Source organism: Homo sapiens, chromosome X, assembly GCF_000001405.40.
Source record: "Homo sapiens chromosome X, GRCh38.p14 Primary Assembly".
In the NCBI taxonomy this organism is placed as follows: Eukaryota; Metazoa; Chordata; class Mammalia; order Primates; family Hominidae; genus Homo; species Homo sapiens.
Window position 1 is genome coordinate 152624933 of NC_000023.11, and position 12590 is coordinate 152637522.

At 42.7% G+C, this 12590-nt stretch overlaps 1 long non-coding RNA gene across 3 annotated transcripts in view; it reads right to left on the reverse strand.

Moving 5' to 3' along the window:
• MAGEA3-DT (MAGEA3 divergent transcript) overlaps positions 1-12590 on the reverse strand; it is a 144351-nt gene that overhangs the window by 70556 nt on the left and 61205 nt on the right. For all 3 annotated transcript variants that reach the window (XR_938525.3, XR_001755976.2, XR_001755975.2), the window contains one exon: positions 10950-11055. This is a non-coding gene — a long non-coding RNA (MAGEA3 divergent transcript). The remainder of the gene's footprint in view (positions 1-10949; positions 11056-12590) is intronic.

Here is a 12590-nt window from a genome sequence, read left to right on the forward strand (position 1 = left end):
CATATACTTGAGTTTTCATGGTAACACTTTTCACAATATCCACAAGGTGGAAACTACAGAAATGTCCATCTACCGATGAATACATAAAACAAGATGGGGCATATCTATACAATGGAATATCATTCAGCCTTAAAAAGAAATGCAGTACTGATACATGCTACAATGTGGATGAATATGGAAAACATTAAACTAAGTATATGAAGCTAGTCACGAAAGGCTACATATTGCATGATTCCATTTATATGAAATATCCAGAATAGACAAACTCATAGAGATTGAAAGTAGTTTAGTGGTTGACAGGGCTGGGGGGAAGGGGGTATGAGAAGTGACTGCTTAATGTGTAAAGGGTCTCCTTTGGGAGTGGTGAAAATGTTTTGAAGCTAAATGGAGGTGACTGTTGCACAACTCTGTGAAAACACTAAAATACATTGAATTGTACGCTTTAATACAGTGAGTTGTATGGTATGTCAATTATATCTTAATAAAGATGGTATTTTTAAGAGAAGAAAGAAAAAATGGATGGAGGGGTACTGTATCACCTGCTAAATAGTCCACCTATTTAGCAGCCTGGTGAATCTATACTAAGGGGCTCTTCTCACTCATTGCCAGTGTCGCTGGATGTGAAACCCTTTGGGTAGTCAGAAACTGAAATCCAACTCCAAGTGAGGGGCATGATATCTAACCTTACTCAAGCCAAGAAACACTTTGCTGGGCTGTATTTCTCCTTTTCTCTCTGGCAGGGTGGGGTGGTGTTTGGTCTCTTTAAGCACACTATACCTCACTATACCAAACTGGAAATGTAAAGAAATCCTGTATCTTGCCCTGTGCTCCATTGTGAACCAGCACCGTGTCCACATCGATATCCGAGATGAAGTTGCTGACAGCAGAGTATAAACGCTGAAGCTGCTGCTGTAAAAATTTCCCTGACAGTGTGACTAGAAAGTAAAGGGAGTCATCATTTAGTTCAACATGGACTGAGAGCCTTGAATGAAACTCTGTTTGAGATATTTAAATTGTACAGTACCAATAAAACACGAAGCCAAGTCAAATCATTAGAAATTCCAAGATAACATGACAAGGTGGTCCCACCTTGTTAGGGTTTTTGATGCGTCTATGTATAAGCCAATAACTGTGCTCCATGTCCCCCAAAGAAAATCTATGCCAAGTGGTCCGTTGCTTTGTAAATTGCCACATCTAAATTAAGAAGGTGAATTAATTGTTTAAAAATGAATTGTGGTTCGTTGAACTTAGTAGTTTGCATATTACTTGGGGTTCTCAACTCTTCTTATAGTCTAGTGTGTGTAGAAAAAGGCCTCTATTCATCTCCCAGGCTTTAGGAGCTTCAGGCTGGGGCAGACACATTTGGGACACATCCCAGGCACTGACTCCCTCTGGCCTGCATTCTGCAACCTTTCTATACATGTGCCTCTGCCCCAACCAGAATCACATAGCTTATCCCAGTAACTACGGGTAAGTCCGGCCTACTCCAATGACCCATATTTTTGTTCTCTTCATCCCATTTGTCTTACTGATTGGCCAGAAAACAGCCACCTAACTCCAGAAGATTTCCCATTACTTGAGCATTGACCATGTGCTCAGCAATTGTTTTAGGTATTTTCCATGTATTAATTCATTTTACACCATAAGGAATTCCTATTACTATACCCCTTTGAGGTGAAGAAACTGAGGCACAGAGAAGTTAGGTAATTTGCTTAAGATCACACAGAAAGTGAGTGTCAGAGCTGGGATTCAAATCCAGACAGTTGGGCTTCAGAGCTCAAGCTCTGACCTCCATCATGTCTTCTCCACTCCTGACTGGAAAATGGAAGGATAATAGTACCCAGATTACAGCACTATTGTGGTGATTAAATTATTATTATTGGTTTCTGGAGTAGGCTGGCCATTTTCTCAGCAGTGGGCTGGAATAGGGAGTACATTTTGCAAGTCAGGTGTCTGGAACAAGCATTTAGTTTAATGAATCTAAGTGAATCTAAAGTGAAGTACTGTATAAGGAGAGTCCTATAATAGTGCATTTCATTGGGAAGAAGCTGTCTCACTATATTTACATCTAATGGAACACAAGAAGGGTCATTTTGACTTTATTTCTAAAGCTGACTCCCAAGTAGCACCTTCAATTCAAAATAAAGCTTTTCTGGTCATCATAACTTCTGGAACGGTGTCATGCACTTGAATATGAGTGCACCCTGTTCTGAAAGCCCTTTGCCATACTTTAGTGGTGAAAGTGTTAGTAAACATCGCTTTGGTGGCTGTTTGTCCACTAGCGCATGTTGGCCCTTCACGCTCCACCTCAACCCATTAGGCACCATGTGGAAGAAATGTGTCCAGGGGAACGATTCACTACATAAGCAATGCTCTTATAAACATCAGGAACATGGGAGCTGACAGAAGGACTGCAGCGAGTTCCTGTCATCTTCTTTTACAGAAATTCATGCTGCCCAAATAAATGCTCTACTCACTTCTGGTTTCTATGCTAGCCCACTCTGTAAATTCAAGGGATTAGATGAATGCAATATGCCCATATCCTGAAGAGCAAACTAGAGAATGGCTCAATTCTTAAAAGCCCCATAATCCTCAAGAACAAACCAAAGGCTTAAGGTAGTCAAGCTCAGAAGCTAAGAAATGAATCAAATAAACAGTTTAAACACCTTTCCCTTGGGCTTGGCTTTTCTAAAGGAGAGAAAAGGTCATCAGGGGAGCAAATGTGGCTCCTTGTTGATTAATTAAGAGCACTTAGGCAACATTCAGCAGAATCAATCATTTGTAGCCTGAGTTTTTTTTCACTCAGACTTCTAAATTGTCAATTCGTCCCTAAAATTACTTATGTAATTTGTGCTTTTAGGATGTCAGGTGTTAAAATTACTTTTCAGTACAACCCACAGAAACCCTGACTGGGTTTATTCATTTATTTCTTTAATGAGGTAGGGATTCAGGGGAGAAATCATGGTGGACAAGAAGAGTTTGTTTTCAAAATGAGGAGAGATATGGAGAGAATGTAGCTACTGATGAGAGAAATGAAGCTCCCAGACTTTTAAGGGAAATAAGATGCACACACAGGACTCCAATAAAAGGCACCATGTGATCAGGACACAAATAGAGCCACCCAGTCAAAACCCTCACAGCTAGCTTTGGGGAAAAGGGTATCCGGTCTCGGGTTTAAAAGATAGATTTAATTTTGGCAGATGAAGGAGACAAACTGAATAACTGCCAAGTGGGGGTCACTCAGAGAAAGGCCAGTAGCCCCTCTGCACTGGAGCTGGGTGGGAATGACAGGAAGGAGGAGGAGGAAGGAGCTAAAAGTGTAAGTTAGAATCAGAGTGGATTACAGATAGGGTGAACACCAAATGGGCAAACTAATTAAAAGGCTATTACAAGAGTGCAAGACAGGGATGAAGGCCTGAACTGGGGGTAGGAGCAGGGTGTGAGGAGGACGCAGTGGGGAGAAGCATCACAGAGATAGTCTCAAAGGTCAAATTGAAAAATCGGTGGTGATGCCACACAGTGAAGCCAAGATAAGCAGCAAGCATTCTCACTGTACCACCTCCTGAAGCCTTCTCCCCAAACGGGAGTCAATTATGATTATACTGCAAAGGAGTAAATGAGAGATTAGTATGGGAGGCCCCAGCTGACTGAGTCAAAGAGTAAAATGAACATGCAGTCACTTCAGGGGCCTATTTGACTATGGAAGGGACATGTAGTGCTGAGGCAGTGTGCCAGGTGTGGCAGCAGCAGGCAGCACAGCTGGCAGTGTGCTCTCAAATCAGCAACAGCATTGCTGCCCACACAACATTGCCACACAGACAATGCTGCCACGCACACACAAGCCTTTGGAAAAAAACCCATTGGCACATGAGTGCTCCACTATGAGTAGAGTGGTTTCAGTAGCAACATTTGTATCTGCATTTCTATTCCTTGGGATTCTTAGAATTATAAAACTCAAGGCTAGACTGGACCTCAATTTTCGACTGGTCCAACCATTAGAATCCTTTCTATAATGTTCCCACAAAATGGTAATGCAGTCTGTCCTTGAATATCTCCAGGAATGGGGAACGCTAGCCCCATCTTTGGCTAGCCCTGCTATTGCTTCTCTTTTGTCCACTCTTCCCTAGCAATTACTGTGTCAGTAACTATTGAAGGCGCTTTGCCAACTTGATTGCACTTAATCCCCACAACGTCAAATTTTACAGATGAGGAAACTGAGGATCAAGGAGAGAAAGTGACTTGTCACACAGCTGATGAGTGGCAGAGCTGGGATTTGAGCTGCTAAATTTGTCTGACTCTGGTGCTTCCTCCATTAGAAGTAAATCTAAGCCAATCTGTCTCCTTATAAATCCTACCCACTACTATAGTTACAGCATTTCTTCCAGGGAAGAGGATGCCCTCTTTGAAGTGCACTTGGAGACACAAATCTTGATCCCTTTCATCGCCTAACCACTTGAGAAACACTGACAAGACTATCAAAATGAAAGGCAAAAATGGCCACATAGCAACACTTTCAGAAGGGTGTCCTATTCCTGACTCCTCAGTGTGGCTCTCAGGCTTCTGCTGTCCCAGGGGTCACCAATGAGCCTTCTAACCAATAAATATGATGGCCATTTCCAAGTCTTCATTTTTCATGAGCTCCAGCTTATGGAAAATTTATTTTCATTTCTGGGATGCTTCATTCAACAAATATCTTTTGAGTGCCTACCATAACCCAGACTCTGGACTGTGTTCTAGGCAGGCACAAGATGAACCAGAAATAGTCCCTGGACTAAAGGAGTGCCCAGTCAGTCTGTCGTGGAAGACAGCTGAAAGGCAGTAATGACAATACGGGAGTCAAATGTTGTTCCACAGGACTGTCGAAGGCTCCCTTGTAGCATGAAGGAAGAGGTCACTATCTTTGCTTGGCCAGTTGGGAGAAAAGCTTCATCACAGCTGAGCTGGGCCTTAAAGGATGAGTAGAAATGTGCTGGGCAGGGAAAGTGGTGATCATATATACAAATTCCTGTGTAACATCGTCACTTAGACGCCTAACATCAAAGCAAACTGAAAATGTTCAAAATAAAATTATTGGCTATTCATGCACTTTAACTTCTTCCTCCCAGAGTCTTGCCCAACTCAATAAATGGCAAATCAGTTACCCCACCTAGTCAGGCCAAAACTCCGGAAATCCTTTGTAACTTGTCTCTTAATTTCATATTCTCTGTCTGATCTGTCAGAAAATCCTTTCAACTCTGCCTTGAAAAGATATCCAGAATCTGACCACATCTCACATCTTCCTCTGCTACCACCCTGGTCTGCTGAGCCCATCATCTGTCACCTGGGTTATTGCAGCAGCTTCCCGACTGCTCTCTGTGCTTCTGCCCTACCCCCACCCCAGGAACCTATTCTCCAATAGGCAAAAAGCATGATCCCACTGTCATGATATAAATATGCTCATGTCTTTCCTATGTCCAAATCCGCCATCAGCTTCCTATCTCACTCTGTGTAAAAGTCAAAGTTCTTATCATGGTTTACAAGTCACTACACGATCTAGCCCCCGTTTATACTTTGGCCTCACCTCCTATTTCTCTTCTTCTTCACTCACTGTGTTCCAGCCTCACTGGCCTCCTTATTATTCTTTGCATACACCAAAAACTTCAGGCATTTCCCCTTGTTGTCCACTCTCCTGGAATCATTTTCCCGTAAATGTCTATACGGCTTTACACCCTCTCTTTAAGGTCTCTGCTCAAATGTCTGCCTTCACAATGAGTCCTTCCTTGACCACCTTATTTAAAATAATGTCTTTGCCCTCCAATCATTACCACCTCATTTGCCCAGCATTCTCTACTCTCCTTCCCTGATTTGCTTTTCTTTGTTGCACTTATCATCATCTAATAAACCAGATACTTTATTCATTTCAATTCTGTGTAATCTGCCTCCTGTTCCTATATAATATAAGCTCCACTATATCAAGGATTTCTTTCACTGTTTTTTTTTCTACTTTTATATCCCTGTTCTCAGAGTAGTACCTGGCACCTAAAAGGTACTCAGTGAACAGCTAATCAATGAATGAGTGATGACTTTCTGAATATGGGGGTGGGGAGATAGAAGGAAATGCTATAGATGTCTTATAGGTCCCAACCAGGTCCCAACTGAATATCAGTCCACCGAGACTGAGAACACACCAAAAGGAGCATATTTGCAGAGTACTAGGAGAAGACTGAGATATTTTGGATTCAAGCTACCTGTAAAACATGCAGAAAGAGTTGTACATGGGACTTTAGACTAATGGTACAGGCACTGAGATGAGTGCCAGAGTCTATTTATCAAGTTAGGCTAAGCTTTGCTGAAATGATAACTAAGTCCCTAAATCTTAGCAACTTAGCATATCAAAGCTTGATTTCCAGGTCACACATGGTCAGATGCAGGTCACATCCTCTATCGGAAGACTCAGGGTCTAGGTTCTCTCCATATTTGATATTCCCACTTCAACATATGGCTTTCAGGGTCGACAGGGCAAAGAAAGAGAGCTTAAGGATAGTAAACTGACTCTCAAATGCTTCATCCTGGAAATAGTCTGTGCCACTTATGTTTGCATTTCATTGTCTAAAACCAGTTACATGGCCCCAACTAACTGAAAGGGGCCTGCAGATGGAAGTGAGTGCTACTGAATCTGTCTCAGAGATCGTGCAGAAAAGCATGGTTTTGAGCAATTTGGAGAAGTACAAGGGACTAGAGTTGCTGAAAGATTCAATGCCTTATTATGAATTATCGCTGTTACCACAAATGTAGAGTATACTGATGTCAAAAGACTATCTAAAAGAAAATCCTCTGGTCAGGTAGAACTTAACCTGAGGGAGGAGCAGAGAGCACACGGCTAAAGATACAAGAGTACATTAATTAGGGGCTAAGGGGGGTTGTGTAACCCAAAATGATTTGAGGACAGGTGCAAGACTAGCAGGGTGTATTAGTCGGCTCTCACACTGTTAATACATACCCGAGACTGGGTAATTTATAGAGGAAAGAGGTTTGTTTAATTGACTCACAGTTCAGCATGGCTGGGGAGGCCTCGAGAAACTTACAGTGATAGCTGAAGGGGAAGCAAGCACATCCTTCTTCACATGGTGACAGCAAGGAGAAGTGCCAAACAAAAGAGGGAAAAGCCCCTTATAAAGCCATCTGATCTCATGAGAACTCATTCACTATCACGAGAACAGCATGAGGGTAACCGCCCCCATGATTCAATTACCTCCTACCAGGTTCCTCCCACGACACGTGGGGATTATGGGAACTACAATTCAAGATGAGATTTGGGTGGGGACACAGCCAAACTATATCACAGGGGTAAGGGAGTCACGTAAGAAAGCAGCCTTTCTCACCAGGTGTACCACATGTGGCCACTCTGGCTGTGCCCTCCACAGCTCCAGGAGATATCCGTTCATGATTTGTACAGGATCAATGTTTCTCACCCCTTGGGAACAGGGGCAGGGATGCACAGAAGTTAGCCATCACCATCCTCACTGAGGGGCAGAGTAGCTGATGGCAGCAACTACCGCAGTGTAGAAATAAAGGTCTATCCATTTGCGCACTAAAACTTCCTCCTTCAAAAAGGTCTCTGCTCCCTGTGCTTATCCCCCTCTGTTTCAGTGAGCTTCTGCATAAGGTGTTTTGCTGCTGTTGTTGGATTCGGAGAAACAATTATTTAATAGATAAATGGAAAGGTTTGTTCCACAATTAGACCAGGAGAGCTGAGGCCCTCTAGTGGCTCTATCTGGTAGTGACCGCAGCCTTTCCAGATGGAGAAAGGAGAAATCTGACTGGATAAGGGAGGTGAGGTCCCAAAGCTAGAAGTTGTGATGGAAAGGGAGTCCTTTTTGTCTGGATTCTCCCATTAACAAGTAGGCATTATTACCACCCCCATATTCCAGATGATAGAGCTGAGCTTCAGAGGCTGAGACACATGCCTAGGTATAATAGCTGGTGACAGAGCTCCAATCTAGATCTTCAAGTTCATAATCAAATGCCCCTTTAATACACTACGATACAACCTGTCCTTGGGAGAAAAACTCTAGAGTTAGTGGAGTATTCTCACCGCTCCTGCTCTTTCATAGTTAGGGAGGGAGATGCTTTTAGAAGATGCTATACCTAATACAGTGCCCGTTTCTGCAGGCTTGGGGGAGAGAGGGAGCTGTGACCTACATAAAATGTGAATTCCGAGAAAAAGTGAAGAGAAAATATGGAACCTCAGAATCAAAAATTCAGCACCCCCTCCCTTTGTGACAGTTAGTCAAAATTGTGGGTCACATACTGCATGCTATAAGTGAAGGTAGGTCTGTGTCTTCACTGTCAGACAGCATTCTGATTGATTTGAGGTTAGGCAATAGAGAAGGCTTTCCTGCCCTCCCACTCTCCTCTCTTGGAAAAAGGGATTTCTGTGGTAATGGTGGTGGTGGTGGTGGTGGTGGTGGTGGAAGAGTCCTTAAGGGTACATAAAAATGCTTGTCCCTCAAGTAGAATAAATGCATGAAGGATTTTGAGCCAAACACAGGAGCTCTGATACCACTTCCCACATGGAGCAGAATTTCCTCTATTCTACCCATGACAGGAGGCCATTCATTCAGTCTTTGTATAAACAGCTCTAGTAACAAATAAGGAGCCCACACTCTCAAAAGACAGCCTATTTTATTTGTAGCTCAGTGTATTATAATATAAACCCCTGCAGGAATGTTACTGTGCTCCAGCATGAGATAGCCCAAGGAGCAATTGCATATAGTGAAGCCCAAGTGTAGGAAGACACCCTGAGAACCACAGAACTGTTCATTTTGTATGTTTTTCCTTAGAAATAGTGAATGATGAGGGCAGGGTAAGCAGAAGGGAACTCTTCTACAAAGATTCACTTTTATTCTGGTTTCTCTTAGGAAGCCATATATAAGCACATTTCTCCAGCCTTAGACCTCAGCAGCAACTAGCATTTCACACCCATGGAAAATATTTGCCTCTTTGATGGCCCATGAGATGACGGACACACACCGATAGAACAATGGCCTTCCAAGCATGACAACTAGGGAGGGCTCATAGGTGTCAGGTTGTTCTAACAAGTGCCTTTTTCAGCATGGAAAAAAATGAGTAAAAGCATTCTAAAGTCCAGGGTCTAACTTCCATCCCCTAGTCTCAGTCTCTCCTGTTCTTGCTCTAGGTCAGGAACTCATTATTTTTAATTGGACCAGTAATATAGCCTTCTTTGCTTCTGGCTTTCTTTACTTTCACTACAACGTGTCTAGGAGTAGATTTCTTTTAATTTATCTTGCCTATGACTTATTGGGCTTTTTGAATCTGTGAATTCAAATTTACAGCCGTCATCTTCAACTGGGACTTCAATTAAATATATGGCAGACCTTCTCACTCTACTAATTGAGTCTCTCATCCTCCCTTTTTTATTTTTCCAAATAATTTGTTTCTCCAGACAGAACTCTGGGCAATTTCTTATAACCTATCTTCCAATTCAATAATTCTCTTTTTAGTTGTGTTTAGCCTTCTCTTAAACCCATCCATTAAATTCTCAAGTTTCATTGTTATAGTCTTTAGTATAACTACACTAGTTATAGTTTAGTTTTTCACCTTGATTTTTTTCAAAATAGCTCTATTAGTCTTTATGATTTTCTGTTCCTTACAGATATTTTCAAACTTATTTTTAATTTTTTGGAATAAAGTGAACCATAGTTATTGTAGTCTTTGTCACGTAACTCTGATACGTGAAGTCTTTGAGAGTTTGTTTTTGTTGTCTACTGGCTGTCATGGTCTATGTGTTTCCTTTTATGCCAAGTTATCTTTGACTATACGCTGACATATTTTTGAAAAATTATTGTACAAATGATTCTAGGCCCAATATGATAATACCTTCCAGCAGAGTCTTTTCATTTGCTGGGGTATTTTCAAATGCCTGAGGATACTACTTGTCCAAGGCCACTTTAATCCAAGATCAGGGCTTTAGGTTCCTTGGACTGCCCATATGATGAGTATCTAGGTTTACAAGACCACACAAGGGCTGGTTACTTATAGGTCACCATTAACCCAAAGGGGTAGCCACTCAGGGTCTCAGCTGAGAGTGACAAGAATGCTAATCAAATCCGCTACTTCCTTGGGCCTTGAGCTTTCACTTTTTTCCTTATGATGCCACCAAAACTGCAGCTCAATTTCATAACTCTCTTCCAGATTCAGTAGAAGCCATCAGGACAAAAGAGGATTCTAGTGCTGGGCTTTCCCCCCTGGGTTCTTGTCTTCTTCCGGATTTTAGCCTCAGTATCTCTCAGTTCTTTATGACAATTATTTCTTTCTACATTCAGCCAGTTTGTTTCATTGTCCTCACTGGAACAGCTAGTCCAAGTTACCTAGCTGGCCATTACCAGAAGGAGATGTGTGCTCTTCTTGCCCCCAGTCCCTCTCCCTCCCAGTTTTTCCTTCAGTGCGAAGGTGCCACTCTGATTGTATCATTCCCTTGCACAAATCCTTCAGAAGATTACTGTTGACTCTAAAATAAAATACAATTTTTTATTTTAGAAAATTAGGACCCAGATTCTTTCTCTTGCCTCATTCATTACACAAGAATTTATTGTACACTGAGTGTGTGTTGCTTACAAAGTCAGGTTCTGCCTAATCTCTCACCTCTTACCTATCTCACCTGTTGTCTTACCTCCAAACTTACTCTACCCTTTAGCCAAACTGGAATATTCACTGTCGTGTGCAGAGCTGGGTCAGAACACAGATGGGCTAACTTCCAGATGAGTGTTCTTTGTCCTACACCATTATCCCATATTCAGGTTTAAGCTTATTCAATCTAGATCTTTATGGATATTATAATAAATTAACTAGGCAAACGCTCAATAAGTACAAATTATAATGGCATTTTTGTATTTCTTGTATTTTGGCTATCCTTTTCTTGTGAGTCAGAAATTTCAATGAAGCATTACCTCTAGGGAGACCCGAAGTAGGGGAGGGCCTTCTGGGATGTAAGTTCTGGAAGAGAATTCATCGTTGCCGTCAACTTTTTGTCAATCTTCATAGTCACAAGGGTACCTAAGAACAAAATTTCAGGCTTCAGGCTTGTTTCCCCTAACAAATGAGCGACCAGACCAATTGCCTGTGGAATTTGATTCCTCAGTGCTGGGAACATCCCACATTCAAACAAATCTGCTCCCACCTGCTGGTGGTTGCTAGAACTTCCAGTCAAAGCTGACTTAGACTGAAAACGCACTCTTCTCGAAGTAAGCAGACCTGGAAATGTGGTTTTTAGTTTTGGCCTCTGCTACTGTGTGACCTTGGGCCAATCCCTTTTTCTTCTCTGGGCTTCAGTTTCCCTACATTACAACCGAGGTGGCTGGACAAAATGCCCCGGAATGGCTCTAACATTTTTGGCAAACAAGGATTTTCTCTACAAGGACGTCTGTGTGACCAGAGGTGATGGGACAGGACTGGTAGCAGTAGAGGTGGGTTTAATCTGCTCTCATATGTGATCCTGACAAATGGGTCCCATCATCCTTTTTTCTTACTGCAATGGCCAGGGAAAGAGGGGAGATGGGAAAGAAAGGTGTGAGGGTGTTCTGCTCATTAAAAGAAGGCAGGAAACTATGAGAGACATTTTTCATAAAAGTATGGTTCTAAAATGATTTTAAAGGGGGAGTGGTAAAAGAGTTAAACCCTCAGCTGTGCAAAACTGCTTGGCCTACCAGGTAAGTCATGCTTTGCTGGGCACCAGCAATCTCAACTCATTTCATCAAATACTGAGGGGAAAAAAAGGGGGAGATGTTGTGTTTCTCAGTGAATGTTCTAGGTAACCAAAAGTAAACCTGAAATCCGTTTTGATTTCAACTCTTCTCAATGGTGTGATGTGGGAGGTGGCATGCCGGTGAACATGGCAGCTCTGTTTGTTGATTACCCATTTGCCCTATGGGCTCTGGTGAGGCCACTTTCTAAGCTTTCTGAACTTGCTTTGTCATGGGATAGGAAGGACATAGGAAATTGGGTGGAGGCATTTCTTATCCTCCACGATTTTTCTGTCCCATAGGGGCAGAGTCTGAGGTAGTGGAAAGAATAAGAGCCCTCTAGTCAAGATGTCAGGCTTTTCCATATGATGGGGTCAGAACCCAGGAACATTGGCATACCCTGGTCTCCAGTGCCTAACTCCCTTGAACACCCCAAACACTGACCTTGGCCTTTTTTTCCCCTTCTATGGTGTCAGCCATGAACCTTCATTCTGCATCCCCTGGCTGATGAGACACAACCACATCTCAGAGAGACCCCAGTTGGTGAGCCCTTCCAGTTCCTTGAGTCTTTTTCCTGAGTACCCAAAGTTGGGGTGAAGAGCACTCTAGGAAATTTAAGTCTTAAGCAACTCTTGGGCTCCTGTAGCCCAATGTCCATCCTGAGGGAGGAGCAGTCCTGCTGTGGCCAGAGCCCTGTAACAAAACCCATTAGGATCCTCCTTGACCTTATCCAGAGACAAGGCACGCGGGGTTACTGGAGGCTCAAGGGTACGGAGTCACCAGCCGTTGGGTACCTCCTGACGCCCAAAATTGTCCAAGTCTTTCAGAATGCAGATTCAGCCATGGCGG